The sequence below is a fragment of the Homo sapiens genome, chromosome 4 (genome assembly GCF_000001405.40).
Source record: "Homo sapiens chromosome 4, GRCh38.p14 Primary Assembly".
NCBI lineage: Eukaryota > Metazoa > Chordata > Mammalia > Primates > Hominidae > Homo > Homo sapiens.
In genome coordinates, this window is record NC_000004.12 from 165968474 (window position 1) to 165992661 (window position 24188).

Consider the following 24188-nt stretch of genomic DNA (forward strand, 5'->3'; position numbering starts at 1 on the left):
GTGAAAACACTTTTTTCCCCACTATTCTATAGAGTAAGGTTATCTGTTTAAGGTTCAATCCTTACTCTTTTTGAGCTAAGGACTATTTTTGCCAAAATAGTTAGGTACATGAATATTTAAGTGAATGTGGAAGTATTGACTTTTTCCCAGAGAACAATCTAAGTCAATTTTACCACATTCAATGGCCTAAAAGGGGGAGATGATGAGTTTTGTCATGTCAATTTCTTTTAAAGAAAACTATTTCAGTCATAATGTTTTCTACCAAAATGTCGTTTTTTTCTATCTGTGAGATAGAATTGTTGTAGTAGTTCATCTTTTAAAAGTCAGAGTTTCTCCCATTCTGTGATTGTAGCAATAGTTATGATGACCTACATAGAGAACTGTGTTACTTTGAGTCAAAGAAATACTGATTGTGGTTTAGAAAGCTACTTTTATTGCTGCCTGAGTGGTGAAAAGAAAGAATGTAAATGTGTATGTGTTAAGCCTTGTAGAACCTGGAAGTGTTTTGAGCTGGGAAAAATTGAATTTCACATTGAGATGCTTTGCGTTTAGCAAAACCCAAAACGTATTTTGAAAACTTCTTTCTCCCTTAAGTTTATCCCTCTGAGTATTTTAAGTAATATTATTTTTGTTTGAGTTATTTCCAACATGTTATGAGAGATTTTTGATAACCGTGGGACGTTTTTCTTTGAACCTGGAAATTTTATCTTGCCAATATTAAATTGTATTCTATTCCAGAAAGCCTGAGATCAGTTTACAATTTTTAATTTGTTTCCTGATGGTTGACCAGATATCTTCAGTCATTCATTTTATGTTTGTATTTAATTTTATTGAAATGCTTAAGTAGTCTATCTTATCATTATAAATGTAGTTTTACCTTTATATATTTCAGTAGACATTCATTTAGAAAGAGTTTACAACTCTAAGCCATTAAGCATCAGGATTGCTGTATCTTTTATTTGATGGAGGTGGAGTGCATAACATTATAAGTATTTATACGTACACACATTTTTGAAAAATGCTGCATATATGTTGTTTATATTCGAATGGGTTCCAGTGTCTAGCTTTAAACCAAGTTCTGAGAAAAACGTATGAAAAATGTCTTCTCTTTCTTCAAACCAATAAAAGTTATGATAGCAGAGAATGTCATAAATTGGTTGTGGGGTTTTTTGGTTATTATTTTAGGGATAACCTAACACACATTATTCAGGGCCTGCTTTTCTCTCCCTTGAGGGATCTGTAGCATTCTTGATGTCATGAAAATAGAGCACAAGATTGGAGTTATTAATCACTGTACTTCAATGGACTTTTTCTTATTAAAATGTTAACTTATTAATTTTTATTAACTTATTAAAGTTTAACTCGTCCTTTGAAGAATCTTGTATGTATTCTCACTTGGACACATTCTTATCATATCAAGTATATTAGAAGTTGTTACTCCCAGGTAGGGTCTTAATCTATGTAACGTTGTATGTGTAATTTTACAGAAATTTGTAGTTCCTACACGGATTTTCATCCTGTGTAACTCTAAGGAAATTCATTAGCCTGAAATATGCAAGCTACAAAGGATGCTAAATAAGTCTCATTACTTTATAAGATGTAAACATTGAGCTTTAATGAGTGTTCTAAGGCTGTAGAAGACCTCTTTTTTGAATTAAGTTTGTTAAGAATGTTTTAGTCTTTGCTTTTGTCTGTTAATGTTTATAATTAATCAGACGATATTTATGTTTATTATTTACTTTTGTGATTAGAGATGCTCTATTCTATTTAAACATATTTTAAAATATTGTAAACATTGCTGTTTTCTTGTGGAACCTTTTTTTCTTTGATTTCTAACAAAATCAGGAAGGAATATAAACATAAACATTCACAGTGGTTTTGGAAATGAAACAGTGGGAATCTACCACAACAGAGTGTTTAACTGAAATATGACTACATAAAGCAGGTGAATTGTTTGAGACATTTAAACTCTATTTGAGAATGTTAATTCCCATACTCAATATTTATTTTCTCCTGGCAAGTGAAAGTGGAGGAGGAGGTTGGGTTAAAACCTTCTTTCTTCACAGGAGGCATAAGAATGCTAGCATTTAAAATAGACATTATTCTTTTGACCATGTAGGACTGGACTCTAAGAGTCTTTCCCTTTACTTTTTTAACCTATTCAAATTTCCCGCATACTCTAAAATAAATAAATAAATTATTATTTAGTAATAAATGACACACGATAATGATTCTAAAGTCCTTCCACAAAGGTGCCAACAGTCATATCTTTGGATAACCATATACAGGCATTTTAAGGACTGTTGGAAACAGGATCATTGACACTGATACGTGCAAAATCAAAGAGCTTTCATGGGCTTTTCTGCAACTAATAAATTGAGTCTTGTCCCAGGTTTGACGCATAGTCTGTCCACTATGTCTGTGATCTACCTAATGGTTATTTTCCAGGTCATAAAATATATATGATTCACACAGGTGGCTGGCACAACTTCCAGATTGCTTTCTTAGCTCAAGCAATCTGTCCTAGAGGGAAAGCCTCTTGGACTGCAATCCACATTCCCCACCCCAGGCAAGATATTAACTTAAAAACAATTATCCTGATGATTCTACTTATATGTAAATAATTAAATAAATTATTTAAGTGATTATAATTATTCTTCACTGGTAATCTATCATGCACAACAGGAATTGGAATTCATGGGGGTTCCCCCGCTAAGATTATTCAGTGTGTGTTGTCAGTATTAGATTTCCCTTGGCCAGTCCAGGCAGCTTAGCTAGTGATATCACCCCCATGCATGTCCCTAAGGACTCTAAGCCACTGCTTGCCATGCCCCTTGTAGATTCAGCCATAGGTGCTGCATCTACAATAAAAATTGATCAAGAATATCATGAGGGTGCCCAAGGGCTTCATTTGATGCCAGACGTATTACTCCATTCCCATTGTTGTGTGACAGCACCCCAAATCCTCTGATGATCATGTTAAAGGATTCTGCCAAGACGGTGACTCCTTATCTTGCCTGCTGATTTTTTTGCAAAAAGATCCCAAAGTGCCCAGCATTAGCTTAAAATTCAGTGGCATTCTTGCCATGGCTTCTGGTAGAAAACTGCTTTTCTGTGAATCAGGATCTCTGAATGCTGAGAGTCCAGAAACGTGGGGGATGAGAAGCCCAAATTTCTCAGTGCGTCACTGGGAGAGCTTGCTTTTCCCTTTGGCTTTTTATTCTAATGCAAGTGTACACTCAGCCTTTTAAAATTTTTTAAAAATTTTAGATGTTTTCTTCTTATCCACTTTTAGGATGTTGCCTCTTCCTCTCAAGCTCTGCCAGAGGTGAAATAGTTGCTGTGTCCTGTCTCTTTTTGGAGGGGCTTGCCACTCGATGGAATTCAGCAGGACTTTGTAATGTTAGCTCTCTGGGTTCCAGAAAAATTACAGTTTTGTCAGTGATCTGTTTTTTGTTGTTTATTTACAGGGTTAGAGTGACAGCAACATTCTCTTCCAGCTTTGTGTAGCCTACGTATAAGTAGAACCATCAGGATAATTGTTTTTAAGTTGATATCTTGCCTGGGGTGGGGAATGTGGATTGCAGTCCAAGAGGCTTTCCCTCTAGGACAGATTGCTTGAGCAATCTGGAAGTTGTGCCAGCCACCTGTGTGAATCATACTTATATATTTTATGACCTGGAAAATAACTATTAGGTAGATCACAGACATAGTGGACAGACTATGAGTCAAACCTGGGACAAGACTCAATCTATTATTTCCAGAAAAGCCCATGAAAGCTCTTTGATTTTGCACGTTTCAGTGTCAATGACCCTGTTTCCAACAGTCCTTAAAATGCCTGTATATGGTTATCCAAAGATATGACTGTTGGCACCTTTGTGGAAGGACTTTAATATCATTATCATATATTCTTTTCATGATGCTACATGGTTGTTCCTCCTGGAAATCTGTTTTTTCACTTCAGCATATGGGTTCCAGGTTTGAAAACTGGCTCATATCCTGAATCTCAGTAAGATATTTTTGGATGGTAGGTGGTGGGGTGGGGAGTAAACACATTCTATCTTCTGATCATCCAGCATCCATTCTTTTGATTGTACACCCTGAATAATACTCTTGGTTGACTGTCTGTCTATTTTACTCCTTGGACACCATGTTCTATTAACTATCTCATAACTCTCTAAGGGTCAGTGTTCCTGCATGTGACTACAACCTTGACAAACATTATAATTACCTCTACCTGGCTTATAATAATTGGATATTACCCTATCTATCTTTTCAGGATTCCATCATGTCCATTGTGGTCAGTGAGCCCATTCCATAATACCACCTTCTACCATCAGTCTTGGCCTTCAGAGGAACATCAAGTCTGAACTTCTTAGTGATGTTTTTCCTTTCACCAATGTGTTCCTTGTAGCCTTGGTAAATGGTCTATCTTTAGTGCCTTTGTATGAAGTATAGTCATCTGATGGGCATTCTGGCTGAGAATAGTATATTTGTTCAAGCATGCTTACTTGAGCCTTTTAATCTCCCTGGCATTTCTCTATTACTTAATGCAGGTCCGTGCTTTATTATTTCTTCCAGGAGCTGTCTGTATTAGTCAGGGTTCTCCAGAGGGACAGAACTAATAGGATATATGTATATATGAAAGGGAGTTTATTAGAGAGAATTGGCTCACACTATCAAAAGCTGAAGTCCCACGATAGGCCATCTGCAAGCTAGGGATGAAAGAAGCAAGTAGTGGCTCAGTCTGAGTCCCAAAGCCTCAAAGAAGGGAAGCTGATAGTGCAGCCTTTACCATCTTAAAGCATGTTTACGTTGTCTTTCAGTCTTCTTTTAAGGGCATCAAATCCTGTATCCCAGGATTTCCTATCCTGGGATAGCACCATCCCAGGATGGTGCTATCAAATAAATAAACTATCTTATACAACTTCATGTTCTACCTTTGGAATCGAGTCCTTGAGTATTCTCTGGGCTACAAGTAGGCAAGGTTTTGTAGATCCTTTTGGTTACAGTCCCTTGCTTCCTGTTTCAGGTGCAATTCATTCTGCTTGGGTTATGTTGTGATTTAACCCTTTTATTGGTTTAGTGGCTGGAAAGGGGAGGTAAGGGCAGATCTTGAGGGGTGCATTTTGTCTTTCAGGGGAGAAAATATTGCAGCACTATCCTTAACAAGGGAGTAAGCATTAGTTCTTTTTTTTTTTTCTTTTTTGAGATGGAGTCTTGCTGTGTTGCCCAACACTGGAGTGCAGTGGTACAATCTCGGCTCACTGCAATCTGCACCTCCCAGGTACAAGTAATTCTCTTGTCTCAGCCTTCCAAGCAACTGGAAATACAGGTGTGAGCCACCATGCCCAGCTAATTTTTGTATTTTTAATAGAGATGGGGTTTCACCATATTGGTCAGGCTGGTTTCAAACTCCTGATCTCAGGTGATCCACCTGCCTCGGCCTCCCAAAGTGCTGGGATTACAGGCATGAGCCACTGTGCCCAACCAGCGTTAGTTCTTAATAGGATCAGAGAAGTCTGGAGTTTCAAGATTATATTTTTTCATCCCATGTGTCTGGGTTTCAAAGTAGAACTGTACCCTGGCATAGCTGACCTGCTGAGATCAAGAGGCCAACTGCACTCTGTAACTCTTAGGATTAAGTCCTGGACCTCATCTTTTTTTTTTTTTTTTTTTTTTTTTGAGACGGAGTCTCGCTCTGTCGCCCAGGCTGGAGTGCAGTGGCGGGATCTCGGCTCACTGCAAGCTCCGCCTCCCGGGTTCACGCCATTCTCCTGCCTCAGCCTCCCAAGTAGCTGGGACTACAGGCGCCCGCCACTACGCCCGGCTAATTTTTTGTATTTTTCATAGAGACGGGGTTTCACCGTTTTAGCCGGGATGGCCTCGATCTCCTGACCTCGTGATCCGCCCGCCTCGGCCTCCCAAAGTGCTGGGATTACAGGCGTGAGCCACCGCGCCTGGCCTCATCTTTAGTTTTCTCTGCTATCAAGCTGTAGGAGATGACAGTATTTTTGTATATTACCGAGAAGGTTATCTGGCTTTCACTCATAGCTTTTAATGATTCATTAATTGTGACCAATCTTTTGTTAACATTTAACAAGCATTAATGGAGTTTAGCATTAGCTACCCAATTTACTATCCTTAGAGTTACTATTTTCCCTGTATTGCACAAACTCTGGATATATAACACCAGCATTTATTTTTACAATTTACCATCAGTACAAGAGAAAGATTTAATAATTATACTTATATTATATCCCAGAGGCTATTTTTTGCTGAAGCTCCAACAACCCAGGATGGGATTCTCATTGCCAGCTCCAAATCTCCATTGCCAAAATACCGTGGCAGTACCTGCTTATGTGGACCAGTACTGGCACCAACTGTCACAGGTTGCGTTGCTTAGGAGGCAGACCCTGTGATAGAGATTATTATGTCGGGAGTTCTCAGGGACAGTTCTCAGGATCACCACTTGTGAAAAGGAAGGGGAGGAAGCAGGTGTGAGAAGAGGAATTTATTGGGATTCAGTGTAGTTTCAGTGTGGGTCTTAGACAAATCTGAAACCCTGATGCTAGGATGATCCATCAGAGATGTCTCATGTTGGTTGGAAGGAGCTACGCCCTTATATACCCTTCTAGACCAGTCATTAGATGCTGGCTACCCACAGGAAGTGGGTTTGGCGATGGATGAGGCAGCTTTTCAGCCAAGAGAGCTGACAGCTGAAGTCTTTCAGTGAACAGCCTTCCCAGAATCTGGGAATAAATTATTCAGTCTTGAGGTTGGAACTGGGCAGACCATCAAAGCATCCTCTAAAAAACACCATGGAAAAAACTCTAGTAGTAGTACCCCTTCCCCCTCCCCCACGCCACCCAACCCCTCTCCATATTTATAGGGGCAGTAGAGGCAGGGAACATCTAAGATACTGTATAGGAAAAGAAATCTGCCCTTAAATGTAATGCTATGCCTAGATACATTTACAAACAATTTCTGCCAGCTGTTTAAGGAAAAAATAATTCTAACTTATACAAATTGTCTGAATGACTAAAAAAGAAATAATGTCTTCCAGCTCATTTTATAAGGTGAATATAACTTTGATACTATAACTGGACAATGAAAATAAAAGAAAAAATATTATGGGTTAGATCTCTTATAAAGCTAAATGCTAAAATCCAAAATGGGAACTAAGGGGTTTCTTTGACTTGATAAAGTAACTGCTAGAATCTTTTAGCTAAAACCATAGTCAATGGGAAACTATTAGAAGCCTCTTTAGAAGTTGTAAGATGACCAGGCATGGTGGATCATGCCTGTAATCTCAGCACTTTGGGAGGCTGAGGCGGGTGGATCACATGAGGTCAGGAGTTCGAGACCAGCCTGGCCAGTATGCTGAAACCCCGTCTCTACTAAAAATACAAAACTTAGCTGGGCGTGGTGGTGTGCACCTGTAATCCCGGCTACTCAGGAGGCTGAGACAGGAGAATTGCTGGAATCCGGGAGGTAGAGGTTGCAGTAAGCTCAGAACATACTACTGCACAGCCTGGGTAACAGAGTGAGATTCCATCTCAAAAAAAAAAAAAAAAAAAAAAAAGATTATAAGGCGAGGATTCCTGCCATCACTACTTATATTCAGTATTATGGTTTGGATTCTAGCATTTAGCTAAAACACACATACACACACAGAGCAACTGAAAAGAATGAATATGACACTACTTTCAGATGGTAAAAGTGACTTCACAGGAAATGCAAGAGATCTATTGGAGCCAATGGAAATGTTCAGGATATCTGATGAATACAGGATCAAAGTATAACAATTCTTTTATTATATACAAGGAACACTTAGAAAATATAGTTTAAAATGTTAATATTTGTTAAAGAAATACAGTCTGAAAGTTTACCTAGAAATAAACTTAACAAGGCATACGTTAGGAAGAAACTTACATTCCCTTTATGGGAAGATGTAAATAAAACCAAAATAAGTTGAACTATGATCTTTAAAATGACAATTATTCTTATATTAATTTACATAGACAATGCAATTCTAATCAAGGTCTCATTGGGTTTTTCTTGTAGCTTGACTGTCTGCTTCTAAAATTTATATAGAAAATCATATTGCTAAGAAAAACAGAAAATTTGATAACATAGGTATGGGACTAATTCTATTAGATATAAAGATTCATATAAAGTGATTGTTACCAACATAGTAGGATATTAAAGCTATACACCAATGAAACAGAATAAAAGGCTTAGATATATGACAGAGACAGTATTTAAAATATTTGGAAAAGGGATAGAGGTTCTTTACATGGAACTGGGACAGTTTGTTATCCATGTAGATCAAGCATGTCCAACCCATGGCCTCTGGGCTGTGTGCAGCCCAGGATGGCTTTGGATGCAGCCCAACACAAAATCGTATACTTTTTAAAAACATTATGCGGTTTTTTTGTATTTTTCTTCTCTTTAGCTCATCATCTATAGTTAGTGTTAGCGTATTTTATGTGTGACCCAAGACAGTTCTTCCAGTGTGGCCCAGGGAAGCCAAAAGATTGGATACCCCTGAATGAAGAGATATTTAATCTTTAACTATAACAAAAGAAAAAAATAGGTTAATGTGGACTAAAGACATAAATGTTAGAAGTTAGATTTTAGAAGTTTTAGGAAATATAGGCGATATGGTTGGCTCTGTGTCCCCACCCAAATCTCATCTTGAATTGTAATCTCCACAATCTCCACATGTCGAGGGCAGAACCTGGTGGGAGGTGATTGGATCATGGGGGGCAGTTTCCCCCATGCTGAAAGTTTACTGAGTGAGTTCTTGTGAGAGTGAGTTAGTTCTTATGAGATCTGATGGTTTTATAAATGTTTGACTGTTCCTCCTGCACACACTCTCTCGCCTGCCTCCATGTAAGATGTGCTTGCTTTCCCTTCTACCATGATTGTAAGTTTCCTGAGGCCTCTCCAATCGTGTGGATCAGTGAGTCAATCAAACCTCTTTCCTTTATAAATTACCCAGTCATGAATATTTCTTTATAGCAGTGTGAAAATGGACTAATAGAATAGTCAACTATTTTTATGGTCTCAGGAAAAGATATGTTGCTTAAATTGGACTCAGAAGCCCAAAATCTAAAGGAGAAATGGTTATAAAATTTATTGCACTAAATTAAATACATTTATTTAAGTTGAATGCACTAAATAAACTACATCCAGTGTAACTCAAAACCTGTACTTGGAAAAGCTTCTTCAATGAGAGAAAATTAATATCTAGCAATACTTATAATCAATAAGCATAAGACAAATCTTACAAAGAAAATACATCCCAAAGGAAAGGAATAGGTCGTTCACAAAAGAGGAAGGATTCCCAAAACGTAAATACAAATGTCCTTCTCACTAGTTATGAGGTAATGTGTTGTTTAAAATACATTTCTGTATATATATGTTTGCAAAATAGATGAGTTGATTTCCTAGCATCCTCTAATTGTATTTTTAGTGTTACTATGAACTAATGGGTTTAAACATATTTGATAATGTGTTTCAATCCAATCAATTATTCTCTTTATTGATATTCATGTTATCCTAATTTAGGCCAGCAGGAGCTTACACAATTTTTCCTAACTCTTTTAACAGAACACTTTCATATTTAGAAGCCTTATTGCTTTCTGGTATTACAATAGCCAAGGCTTATTTTACTCAGATTCTGCCTCAACCCTGAAATCATTTTTTTCCAAAAAGCTCTGATTTTTTTATTGGGGAGTTTTTTGGGTGCCAGTGGTTTTTATTACCACTGTGTTGGTTGTTCATTGTTTCCAGGTTTTTTTTATTAGTGAGAAAGAGGAAATATATATACATACAATTCTTAGTTATAAAATTAATTATAATTTTATATAGATAATTCCAGTTCATTTTTGGGGTCCAAAGCTTTTAATTAACCTCCCCAATTTCAGAATCAGCCTTCTTCAAACATAGTAAAAATGTGGGTTCTTAAAGATAACAGTTTTTGCTTTTTACACTTTATCTTATAATACATACACAATCTCAAAATAATATCACCATCACTGCCTACCACCAATAATATGATTATTGAAAAGTTTACTTTTTAAAATTCTTTTGCTTTTAGGATACATTTCAATGAGGATATATATATTTAAGTTGCTGTTTTTTGTTTTTGTTTGTTTGTTTCCAAAGAACTTCGGATGGTTTCTGTCTTTGTGGCTATGCCACCAAATATGTGCATACGTTCATTTGTTTCTTTGCATTAAGTTGTAAATTGGATTCTGCAAAACTCTCTCCCAATTTTAGCTGTTCTCAGGTTGGTCTGCTGTGCTTTCCAATGAGTATCTTGTCAGTGATTTTGACATATTCCTGTCCCCCTGCCCATCAGAAACCTAGTTGTCATCCTTTATTTCCTTACTCATGTGCTGTTTACTGTGTGGTTCTTGTAGCTGTTTTCACAGCAGAAGAGTTGTAAAATAGTTTGTTCCCATCCACTTGTATTTGAAAGTTTGAGGTGATACTTTGTAACCTAGATCTATGCTATATATTGTCCAAGGGTCTTTGGGGTTTTCTTTAACTGGTTGTTCTGTGTTTTTTTATAGCAGGATCAGAGAATATTCCATTATTACGTGGCTATTGCTGCTGCCATTATTACTCTGTATTCAAATTCTAGGCAATTTCTAAAAAAGGTGTATACATGCATATCCTATGACCCACTGATTGACTACCTAGGTATATATCCTAGACAAGTCTTGTGCAATACATGGTGTTTACTAGAGCATTGTTTGTATTAGGGAAAAGTTTGATGCTATGTAAATTTATATTAATAGAAAAAGATACAAATAAATGTTATATTCGTATAAAAGACTAACTTAGAAGTTAAGAAAAGCTGTAGTCAAATGTGTGTAACAAACATTATATATTAAATATTATGCAAAATCATACAGATGAAAAAGAAAACAGTTTAATGATATTTATATAATAAAAATTATTAAGCAAAAAGAAGTACTATACTTTTCCACAGATACATATGAGTTTGGAAGAATAGAAACATGTACAGGAGTGACAAATACTATATTTGTGATACTGGTTACTCTGAGAGAACATGGGGTCATGGTAATTAGAAGGGAAACATAGATAAGGTAAGAACTATTCTAATAATAAAGATCTGAAATAAAAAATTTGCCAGGCATGGTGCTGTGCGCCTGTACTCCTAGTTACTCAGGAGGCTGAGGCAGGAGAATTTCTTGAGCCCAAGGAATTTGAGGCTTTCAGTGAGCTATGATTGCATTGTTGCACTCAAGCCTGGGTGGCAAGGCAAAACCCCATCTCTACATAAATGAACAAATAAATAAACAAAGATTTGAGGCAAATTTTGCAAGCTGTTCAGATTTTTGCAAAACTCCGTGGTGAATATGCTTTTCTATACAGTTGAAATACATCATGATTTCTAAATAGAGAGGGAGAACCAGTCTTGTTGACTGACTGTATTAACATGGATAATGAACGTGACAATCAGAAAGGTTTTGGTTAGATGTGAAAACCAGGGTAAAACGACAGTTTCAGAGGCAAATGTTGCAAGTGCCTATCCAAACCGTATCCATGTTATCATTAAACATTGGAAGCATATAAGTAATCTTCCTTGTTCTGGCTCCATGTTTAACAAGCACTCTTCCGAGCATGGTTTTTCTTCACATGTTTTTATTTATATTGAGAATATGTTGGGCAGACACTCTGAGTGTCCAGTCCCCTTATGTTCTTACTGTGAGCTGGCACTTTATTTTCATGATAGCAATCTCATATGCGCTGTCTCAGGGATGTCTGTATTTCCAAGTGTAATGGATTCAGGAACATGGGCAAGACCAAGTTTCTGACTCTGCAAGGCTCAACCCAGACCTTAAATTCATCAAAAGTTTGCATCTCCCCAGGAACATCCTTCTATTCTCTATAGCATATTCTTCTTGAATTTAAATTAGTGATCTCTTGTGAAGTAGAAAATTAATGGCTGTTGCAGGCATAGCCTAAGAAAATAAAGTAATTCAAACGTGCAGCCAATTGTAGTGATAAGCTCTCATTCAGAAATAACTCAGAGTTGTATGTAGTTAGCACCAAATGTACAGAACTGGTAAAACTAGACACCTTGTGAGCAGTTGCTATGGTAATATGATTAATTTTGGCAGAGAAGTCTATTTTTAATATTCAAAGTAGCCTTCAAATACCTGAGCCTACTGGAATTTTTTAAATGGTAAATAGAAGGCAAAATAGTCCATTTAAAATGGACTTTAAGTTGTTAAGAGAGCCTACTTGATGTTGTTAGTTATTAATCTCTAAGGGACATTGCCTTATTTTTGAATTCCTATTGCCTAGCACAATATCAGACACAAAATATAAGTTCAATACATTATAATGATAATTAAATTGTCTCAATGTCTGAGTAAAATAAAATGTTTTAAACAGTTTTTTAAAAATTCTGTTCTTTTTGGAGGGCTTCATTTTAGACATTGGTTTGTTCTGTAAGCCTCCATGGCTTCATTAAAGTGACTTAGTATAAATGAGCTCTTTATGAAATTTTAGGCCCAATTGGTGAACTACTGTATTTCTAAAATTTTGCACATGAGAGAGTAACCAATATAATTATCTGAAACTCAGTTAATAACAGCAGCAGATGATAATTGCCTTCTTCCTCTATAGAGTTTTTTTCCCCCATGGTTCTTCTTGTTTTACTGAAAAGGAGGTTATCTTTCAGTTAACCAGATAGTTCAATAGATTTTGACACTCACTCCCCAAGAGACAGTGATTACTGAAATGTTTTGGATGTTATATTGTTACAAGCAAAATAAAATGCACAGAAACCTGTGGATTTTTTGTTTGTTTTCCAAAGATTACAAAAGGATTCCTTCAACAATCTTTTGCTGTGAATAATTTAAGTGGAAAATTAAAGTTCTATCTTGAGTCCAAGATTTACAGAGTTGATAAGCTTTGAGTCAAAGTATGAATTTTAAATTAGTTAATCAGTAATGCTGCAGGGAGATTGGAGGTTTGGATGGGCCAAATTTCCAATTTATATCTACTAGCTAAAACTTATGTCAGTTCTAAATATGTAAATTTTAAAAGGACATACCAAGGACCGTGATTTGCAGTTATTTATAAAGATTTTATTTACTTAGTATTCATGTGTATATGGATTCCAACATCTTTTTCCTTTATTATCTCAAACAAGCTTTGAAACAACACTGGCGGATTACTTAACATTGAAATTACACCTAGAACATGGGCATAGCCCTGGGTGGTTTTGTTGCTACCAGGATGCAAATTATGATGAACTCCATTTTCCTTTAGTAAATGTTTTCTTTGCAGATTGCTTTCATTTTTCAATAAAGTGTATCATCTCTGTGTGCCATTGCAGGCACCATCCCTGTTTCTGCAAACCCGAAAAGAAAAGAATCATCTATTTCTTCATTCCCTATATGAGATTTTGCAGTGGTTAAGATGGATCATCAGCATGATTTCAAAGGGAAACTCTTAGACAAACGATGTTTCTGACGCGGAATAATTTTGCTTTAAGAAATGACCTGTCTGTTATCAGTGCTAACAGACTCTGCTATATTAAGCAAAGTGTAGACGCCAAATAATGTGATTGATAGACAATAAGAGAATGGGAAGTTTTTTCAAATGTAAATTATGTCAGCAAGTTAATAGTATTAATTAATATCACTTAATTATCTGTGGCTCAAATAGAATAATGTCAGGGAGGGTGCCTTATTAATATTAAACATCATGCATTTAATAGCAATATGTGTTACTGACACTATGAAACTTCTAAAGCTGTAAAACATTACAAATAATATTGAGAGGAATATTTCATAGATCTTCAATTTTGTGCTTGTTTTAGAGTGAGTAAAATTATCTTTAAATATTCTTCCCATTGTTTAAGGTCTCTAAGACTATGAAAAGAAGAAATAGAAATCAATATATTAAGTCAAGTTTCAGAGAGTCAGTGAGTTTTTAAATTTTGGGAAGTTTATTTCGCTGAGGCCATGTTGTTTTATGGCTGTGCAGTGTGAGGTATTAACCAAAGAGAAAGGACTCCGGACTTTGATTTGTGCCAAAAGGGAAGTCTTTTACAAAGAATAATAATAACCAGAAAGGTTGTAGTACAGTTTTTCTCAACCTATCATAAAAATAGACTAAATAAAAATGCAGAAAAGTGGGAAAAAAGATTCTTGTGTTTGTGTGAAGAAATGACCTTCCAGTGGGTAAGCCATAGAGCAATGTATGTAAAAAAAAAAAAAAAGCAAATTTGCATGAACTGTCTTACTTCCAGAAAGAGATCAAGATTTACTCCAAGACCTAGTGTCAATATTTAGAAAATAAGGAAACTTAATTCAAAAAGACGTATCAGGGTTGACTCCCACCCTGGCCACAAACGTAAACAATTACAGGCATAAGGGAAGAAAAAACAAATGTTTGCCCTGTCCTTACAAAATATATGACGTGGGAAATATAAATAAACTAAATCTTGCTAGTGGTTGATTGTATACTTAATATTTGAGCAGTGTAAGAATGGAAGTTTTTTTAAAACTTCTGAACTACAATAATTTATTTTCTTAAAGCTCAGGAGAGAAAATATTAGGCCATACACACAAAAAAGTTTCAATATTTACTTTTACGTTTCTGGATCAAAGCACTTTTCTGTCAATGTTTTCTCTTTTGAGACAAAGAGTTCAGAATGAATATTTGTGGTATGGATGATATTTTAAAAATGTCCTGAGAAATCCTATCCGCAGACATTGTGGGCTATAAGTGCAGATTGATATGATATTTCAATGGATCTTTTGTTAGGGGAACAATTTTGTTTTCTGACCTAAATAGAAAGATATGTTTATTTGGAAATTTAGCATTTAATCATTTCCATAATGTAAAATTACGTTAAAACAGAAAAGGATTGAAAAAGGCAACATGCTGCTTGTGTCTAAGTTCAGAATGGATTGATCAATTTTGATTCATCTTGAAACTAACAAACATCATGAAAAATGTCTTTATTATCAAATATTTTCATATTCTGGCGGAAGAGTCCTTGTACTAACAGAATGTGTCTGTATCTGTATATGTATATAGATTTGTTTGTCTTACACTTCAGATTCACATCTGATTGTGTATTGAGATTATATTCTATTTCCTGATTTAAAAAGTAATTGAAGAAGACTGTGTTTAACTTGAGGAGAAGTTCTATGCCCTTTGAAGGAACTTCTAAATTTGAAGTATGTTTGGACAGTTTCTTTCTTTATTTTTTTCTTCCTAGAGTCAATTATCCAAAGTCTAGCTTTCTTATATAGTACTCCTACCATCTTTCAAAAAATCTACACTGGGTGAAGACATACTGTTTTCAAATGGCCAGGTAAAAATCAGGTTACCTAGATGCTCCTTCCAATCCAGTGTGCGAGGAAAGGATGAGTGAACAATTTTATTTAACTCATTAATAGTACTTTACTGCAAGCACACTTTTTAATTGTAGATTAGATGATTTTGTTGATTTTATATGGTAGTGTATGGTAAAAGTGGAAAAGTAGATTTTGAAAAAAATGATAATGTTTTAAATAAAACATTGCATGGGATGCCTTTGTATGAACAAACACTAAAATAATGGACTGCAGATACTTCCTTTTCTATTATTAGGAATTTAACAAAGACACATACTACCTTAAAACATGTCTTTTTCTGAAGAATGTTTCTGATTCTATATAAAATATGTTTGTATTTATTTTTCTATTGTATCAAGAGCTTTTAACATTTTTGATAATTGTTTCTCAAATTTGGAATTTGTGATAACTTTGTGTGTCATGTTGGGGGAGATTTATTCTATGCACATGAAATGCTACCAGAAAATTATTTTCTCTTTTAACTGGTGTAACATTAGCTAAAATATATGTCTTAGAACTTTTGCCAAGTCTTACTTTTCCTTGGGAATTTGCTCAGTGGTTGTCAATCATGTAAAAATAGTTGACTTTTGAGACTTCACTGTTGCCTTTGTCTGAGAAAATTTTCATTATGCCTTCATTGTGAGCAAGACCGGTCAGAGCAGCCTTTTCAGACCTTCACATGACATCATCTTTCCTCCCTAAATCCAATATCAATAAAAGCAGAAAGCTTAAACTGTATATGGAAAAAGTGTAATGAACAAATGCTCTTGGCTATTGTTGAATCTTTGAGCTATCTCTTCCAATCCCATAAATCTCAAGATAATGAATCTTCTAGCTCAATCATGTATTTCCTGGGCATATAAGTGTGGTGTTTGGAGAAAAGGGGACACAATTCCTATAATTACACTTAATAATATATGTCACTAAAATCAAAAAGGCACCTGTCTTTTAATTGCTTTAAAAATGTTTATAACAGTAACCACTAGAGATTGAGGGGCTTGTAAATATTTATTCTTGGAATAGTTAAATATTTAGTATTTTGGTTCTTAAAGCAAATTTGTCAAATAGGTAGCACAAGCAGCCTCATAAACTCTTATATGGACTCTTTTGTTATACACAACTTATACTCCAATTCACGGTATGTTCTCATTCACATTTTTGTGCCTCAAAATGTGTATATTGAAGACCTATTTATTTCTGGTACTATGGCATTAAGGATATTAAGGTGAGCAATACATACTTCCTGTTGTTAGTATTTTCAAAATTAGTCGAGGAAGCCGGCTGAAAACAATTATGAAATCTTGTGTGTTGCCTTATTATTGGCAGAAGCACAGTCAGGACATGGAAGTAGAGACACTTAATTAGGGCAAATGGGAAGAGCAGGTTTCTAGGAAGGTTTTTCTGGGAAGGCCTAAAGAGACTCAATTTTCTTGTCAGTGTGCTCTCGACTGGTAACCAGCTATCAGATATCTTAGTGTTAATTCAAATAAATGTATTCATTTTCTTGAGGATATTTGGTTTCCAAGTATTTTCTCCTGAGTGGACAGAAAGACTTCACCCTTGGCAAAAGTAGTGGTTCTTTACTTTGTGTAACCCCTTTTGACAATCTACTGTGGACTTGTCCCAGAAAAATACATGGTGTTTGTGTTTATAAATTCGTACATATTTTTGCATATAGTTTTTCAGAAATCACAAACTTAAAGCCTCCTTAAAGCTGACGGCCTCAGCTTCAGACTGAAGTGTTAGAGCTCACTGAGGAATTGGGGACATGGGTGGAAGTGGCATTTTTTAAAGTTAAGGCCTAGGGAATCACAATCTTGAATTGCTTATTCTCATCATACATTATTTTATAAAATGCACTTATTCTGCATACTATAATAAAAGCAGTCTTTCTGTTTTAGTCTCTGATTAAAAAAATGTTTGTTGTGCATTAACGGCAAATAACCTTTAGGAGAAAAACAAAACCTGTGGTTTTCCCTGTAGCTTAAAAATTGTTCTCTCTGACATTTAATTTTGGCTTACTGGTTAGCTCCAACCCCCTATTTGACCATAAGAATCCAAGCAGAATTCCAAACAGATAGTAAATATTCTAATTGCACTTGAGTATTTTCCTAGTATCGTCCCAATAACCATTTTCCCATTTTTTTTTTAGTTCTGATCTCACTAACCTCAAATCATGTATTAAATGGGCCAAATGAACGATAATTCATACTTTAAGACTGTTTATCTCCAACTTTGTTTTTTGAGGTAAAATAAATAGAAAATACCACATAAAAACGAAAACAAAATTCCAAAGTGGATTCGAGAATTTCATATGTATTTTTGCACCTAAGTGTCAGATATATATTAGATTATAATGCATCCTAATACATATGAGTATAAATTGTCATGGTCCAACTTACTGTGCCAACGCATAAGTAAAATATTTTAGTACACAGAAATAGGACACAGATTTAAATAGAAGGCGAATTACGGAAATCTTCAAATGTGTGCAGTATGAAGAAAGAAATGCATTTTAAACTGTATGACAGGTTGAAAGTTCTAACGTGCCTTTTTTTTTCTGTTGAGAATATCAAGATTTAAAGATGTATATGGGCTACAGTGTGTCAAGTCTGGCCGTAAATGAATTGGCTTAGTCACTCACTATTGCTTTCTCTCAAAGAAATATTTGGTTTTCTCCTAAAGCAATTTATGGTGTATTCATCACTACCAAACTATTCTGAAGTTATTAGTTTAGAAAATATGGCAATAAATAAATGGGCTTATGTCCTCCAGAACTGTTTTTTCTCCTTTAAGTATCATCTAGCCTGGTGCCCTTTCTTCTCCCCAGAAGTAATGTTTTTGCTTCTGTGAAGTGACTTATCCTTGGACTGTTGATCTGTGTTTGATATAATCCATCAAGACATGGATCCTACTGCATATAAAAAGCCATTACAAGAAAATAAAATCTGAAACATATTTGAATTTTATTTTATGTGTACTGCTTTTATCTGAAATGCAGTATTGACAAAGTACATTTTGCTTAGTTGAGTGCCTCCGTTTTCAAGTCAACCATCTGACTCAAAGAAGAGTGGGAATTTATTCTTGCAGAAAAAATTAATACTAATAAAGATGATGACAATGATAATCATTTGTAGTGATTGGGAGCTTGTTAAAAATGTAGAATCTGAGGCTCCTCTCCAGACTTACCAAATCAGAGTCTGCACTTTGGCCAGATTCTCTATGATTCTTATGCAAATTAAAGTTAGTGAAGCACTGCTTCAGTGTCTAGTGGCCACCACACTACCAGCACTAAGAAAGGAAGAGACAGGCTGAGAGTCCCTGCCAGTGGATGATCAGAGCTATTTGCATTGTAAATGCACCTGATGGAAGTTTCATATAACTAGTCAACTTGGATTTACCTTACAGTCTTAAAAAGTGTAAAATGTATTTTTATGAAAACCAACAAGCCTTATATTATAATTGGCAAAATATTTAACTTGGGTAAGTTTCTTGCGGGGGTCTGGCTTTAGGGATGCTGGAGCATTAGTGTTTTCTGCTGCGTCTGTACGAAGCTGATTAGAATCTCGATTCAATTTCAGGCATCAAAACCACCCTCTTAGCTAGTGTTATAAACTATTCTGTACACTCTTTGTGGCTTTGCTGCTATGAGAGTAAACGAAAGTAAGCATTTCTTTGCTTCTTTAGACTGCCTTTCCATTGGAAATAGGGCCAGTGAGGGGTTTAAGAGAGAAATCTAATTATAGTAAAGATTTTTCTATATGTTGAAGTGATAACCTACATTTTACTAATTTCTATTTTCTTCCTTTCTAGATTCCCACATAAATCTAACCCCTTCCTTCTTATCTCATGTCAGTTTTGCACTGGGTAAATAATTTTATATGATAAACCTTTGATCAAAGCCTAAAACATTGCACAGCTTTTAGGACTGAAGTTTAAACTTCATAAATAACTAATTCTCTATAGTGGAAAAGTTCATAAATATTAAGATTTAAATCCAATGAAAGACAGTAATTTGAAAAGCATGGATTTTGTCACTTTCTACGATTTTAATGTATTTTCTTTCTTTTCCTTTTGGTTTCACAGAAGAAAATCTGAAGAAAGGTTTAAAAATAAAGAAAATTGGTAAACCTGTAAAAAACAAATATCCCTGTATTTCTAGGTATTTTTCAGTGTTCTACTGTCTCATGATTAATTTCTTATTTCTCGAGTTTTTTGTGCTTCCTAAAGTTACTGTGCTTTGACTCTGGCAGTACTAAGGGATTGGTTGGTGTAGCTTGTATTCAAATAAGCAGGGAGACTATTTTATTGTTACACTAATATATATGACGAACTTTAAAAGAGAAATTCACATACTAGTTATCAATGAACTCTCCCATGGTTTCACAATGGTTTATAGAGCTTTGCTTTATTAAGTAGCATAATACACTAGGTAAAAAAGATAGAGTCAGACTGAGAGCAGTTGCTCACTCCTGCAATCCCAGCATTTTGGGAGGCTGAGGCAGGAGTATTGCTGGAGGCCAGGAGTTCATTATCAGCCTGGGCAACATGGCACAACCCTTTCTGTACAAAAAATACAAAAATTAACAGGCATTACAAAAATTAGCCCAGCGCAGTGGAGTGTGTCTGTAGTCGCAGCTACTTGGGAAGCTGAGGTAGGAGGACTACTAGAGTCTGGGAGGTTCAGGTTAAGTCTACAGTGAGCCGTGATCGCACCACTGCACTCCAGCCTGGGTAACAGAGAGACCCTAACTCAAAAATAATAAAAATAATAATAATAGAGTCAGAGTGTTTTCAGGTTTTAGGGTAATGACTTGGTGGCTCTTGAAAATATGGACCGTGTTATATTTGTCATTAAAGATAAAAAATCTGGCATCTAGTTGTTGCCTAAATAAATATTGACTTAAGTATTACTTTTGGTAGTTATATATCCATTTTACAGAGACTCAGAGGCAATGCCATCTTAAGATAAAGTGTATTATAAATTGTATGAAATGTGGTGAATGAATTGCTACAATAGCACTAGGTATTCTTTTGTCTTGATTGCACCTTGCATTATAAAATTATCTTAGTTTATAAAATATCACATGGTTTAGTTGTTACTGCTTTTCCTTTTTCCTCTCAGTGAAGACCTGCTGCTGGTCATAAGAATCCACAGAAGATGCAGACATTCTTATCCGATTTTCAGATATTTGCGAATTAGCTCATGATTGCCTATTTCTCTTTATTTAGAATCTCCATAATCAGTAACCTTCTTATTCAAGGAAACTACTTTCCCCCTCTCCACAAGCAACAATGTAAAAAAATGGAGTTATGCCCTTTTACAGGTAGCTAATATTTGTCCTGTAACAGGTCCAGTGCATTCAGTTATGATTACTTTCTGAAAGATCTGTCTCTATCCAGACCACGTTTCCATATTTTTAACAATGCTTTTCTAATTAGCTTTGTGTGTATTGATTTCACGGAAATATTTTACATTTTAATTCAACTTTTCTTTTTTTAGCTGTATTTTGGGGCGATATTGCCTTAGATGATGAAGACTTAAATATCTTTCAAATAGATAGGACAATTGACCTTACGCAGAACCCCTTTGGAAACCTTGGACATACCACAGGTATGGTTGATTGTTTCAGAAAATTTGTCTTTATTTTGGAGAAAATATACTCTTGAAGTGCTATAAATATTTTTGGATCATTTTTCATCTCCTGTTGATCAACTCTGACTTCCTATACACAAATATACATATTTAGAAATGCAGGTTTTATTCATAGTTTTCATTTTATTAATTTTTTTTTTTTTTTACCAAACAGGTTGTAGTATTTGCTACATACTAGGTCTGGTTTAAGTGCTTTGCAGGTATTAATTCTCTGAATCTTCATGACAACCCCCTCAGGGTAGTTACTAATATTACTATGATTTTAGAAATCAGCAGATTGAGATTTAGAAGGCTATACAGCTTTCTTATCGTCACATCATCAGGAAGTGGCCATGTCAGAACCAGAATTCAATTCTGAAAAAAGCTTGATTTTGTCCTCTTGAGTATTATATTAAGTTGCCTCTCATTTGGATATTGAGTTGCAAAATGTAAATTATTCTTAGAGAAATTATATAGGAAATGTATTTGAAATTATATAGGAATAATATTTGGAAAATTTATATATCTATATAATTTTTGTAAAAACCCCAGAAGGCAATTTTAATTTTAGTTGATTTAAACATGTTTGAATTATGCCTGTAAGAAACTTGATATATGTAAAAGATTATTTCAGTTCTCATTTAACAATTTTTTAAATTAAAATTTCAAAATTCTTTGTAGTATCTTGGTAAAATTTTTATCTGTGTATTATTCTGGAGAAAATTGCAAGGTTAGAAAGTTAAAATCTCTTTCTCTAATTATATTAATAGCTAAAATATTTATTTCATGTCATGCTTTTGATTTCATTGCATTCTCCCTTTTTAGTATTTTTATTTTCTCCTATTCTGTGGAAGTACAATATGTGGTCCTTTCTGATATCAAATGCACATATATATTATGGACTTAAGACTTTTTACTGTGACTTTTTACTTTGCCCAATTTACTTTTTTTGCCACTTTTTACTATGACCAGTTTTAAATATATCGAAATATTTCTACCTATTAGATTGTAGAATAGTGGTATTCTTACTTGTTAGATTCAGCAGTTTTTAACAGTTTATGATTTTCACTGAATGTGTGTGTGTGTTGTGTGTGTGTGCATACATGCATACGTGTGTTTAAAACAAATTTGAAGTCAACTGCAGAAAACGCACTTTAATATTATTAGGTAGTCTAGCATGTACTTTGTAAGAATAAGGATATTATTCTATATAATCAAAATACCACTATCAGATATAAAAATTTATTTAAAGTAGGGAGTATGTAAGAGAAAGCCTAAGGAATTCATCTAAAATAATAACACCATGTAAAAATAGGGTGCTTTGGTGTTTGTTATGCATAGTGACAATCTTTTCTAAAACATATATCAGTATGGGTGCTAATATTGCTGTGCAGTGTCACCACAGATAGCGTATCCCTCTAGATTATGTTTCTTGGCCAAATCTCCAGTTGCTATATCACCTGTAACACTGTCATGGAGACAACGCATTCTGGACAGTAGAGCAATGATACAACAATAAAATGCTAGAGTTATTATAAGTTGCATTTCCAACTTTTATTAAAATTTTCATTAGCTCTAAGCTTTAGATCACTTCTTTGACCTCCCTTCTCCCATTATTTTGAAGGCATTGATTTTCTGTGATTTTAAATTTTTAAAATGTTGTTATTTAATTTAATTTTATTTATTGTTAAACTCTGAGACCATAATAATTGGAAGAAAAATAGTGTTATTTTAGACATAGAATAAAACAGATCATACTGATAATAATAAAAACACTTATTCTAAATTTTTCTGTGGAAGGTACATGTTTGAAAGTTCAATAGTAACTTGCACTACTCAGTTGAATTGCAAACAATGTAATATAAATATAGTTGTTACATAATGGTCATTTCAAACATCATTGATGCCATACTTTTAAAATGTTTCTCCTAATTGCTTAGGAATGAATGTATTTAAGTATTACCTCATCTTTCTAAAATGTGCAATGAAAAAATTTCAAAAATGTTTCTCAAGATGCACAGCAAAAATGTGGCCATGTAATGGAAGTAATTAAGTAGATTATTAGTCAGTGAACAAGCACTCTAACTTATTTGCCTTATAAGGACTTATTTGATTTTTCCCTTAAGAGGCTTATATAGCAATAGATTTTATCATTTTTTTTTAGCTTCAGTCTAGGTAATTAGGTGCATCACAATTTTAAATAAAAAAATAGATATTGGAAGGAAATAGTTCAAGTGATTTGTGAATAGTTCAAGTTGTCGTCGTGGAATTATAGCTTTCTTTGTCTTAGCCCAAAGATACTCTATGAACCATAGATACTCCATGTTACTACAAATTCATAGGCACTTGTTAAGATGTCATTAGTGGCTGTATTGGTTGTTTGCTGAATGATAACTTTTTCCTATTTGTCTAATAAAAATTCAAGGAGAATAGAGAAAATAGGTGACAAAACCGAGAGTAGCATTTTATAAAAGCCCTGGAATGAAAATCTGGAGACTTGAATTATTGCCAAATGCTATGCTTTCTGACTTATGACAGGAATCTACCTTTTCTAGGTTTTGTTGGTAAAATTGCAAGAACACATATTGCCTTATTCCTACCGTTTCCTATTCCTTTTGCACTACAGACTTTTTTTACACTCTGTTTTTTATAAATTTTTCAAATTACACAGCGTAACAGAATATATTTTGCAGCTGAACATTCGTTTGGATTCCTGTGGCTTTTTCCAAATTACGTTTTTGATTTCTATAAATTCAACTAAATTTTCAAAATGCAGTTGAATATATTGTTAAAATGTGATATGCTTTAAAAAGTTTTTGAAATTCATGGAAGCTTTGGAAGAAAACATGCATTACACATTTGCTCTTCTAATGTTTTTATTTCCATTTGCTGATTTGGCCTCCGAAAATATTCAGTTTGCACTGGGGAAATAGCTGGCATGCAATCAACAGGGCAGAACAACTTGCTGTCATTCTATGTAGCACTATGTGATGTCAAGGTCACAGTAAAGAAAAATGTTTCAAATTATCAATAGATGACTCAATTGTCATGATGTCCAAATAAAGTTATTTACATTGCTCTCTGAGTCTCCCCATCCCCTTATTTTAGTTACCAACATTGGTTGCTGTAGAGTTTTTACCCCCTTCAAA

At 34.7% G+C, this 24188-nt stretch overlaps 1 protein-coding gene across 2 annotated transcripts in view; it reads left to right on the forward strand.

The window, feature by feature from the left end:
* The window catches only part of TLL1 (tolloid like 1), a 231221-nt gene that overhangs the window by 95237 nt on the left and 111796 nt on the right, over positions 1-24188 (forward strand). For both annotated transcript variants that reach the window (NM_012464.5, NM_001204760.2), the window contains exon 2: positions 20908-21018. In NM_012464.5, the coding sequence (NP_036596.3) occupies positions 20908-21018 (111 nt within the window). The remainder of the gene's footprint in view (positions 1-20907; positions 21019-24188) is intronic.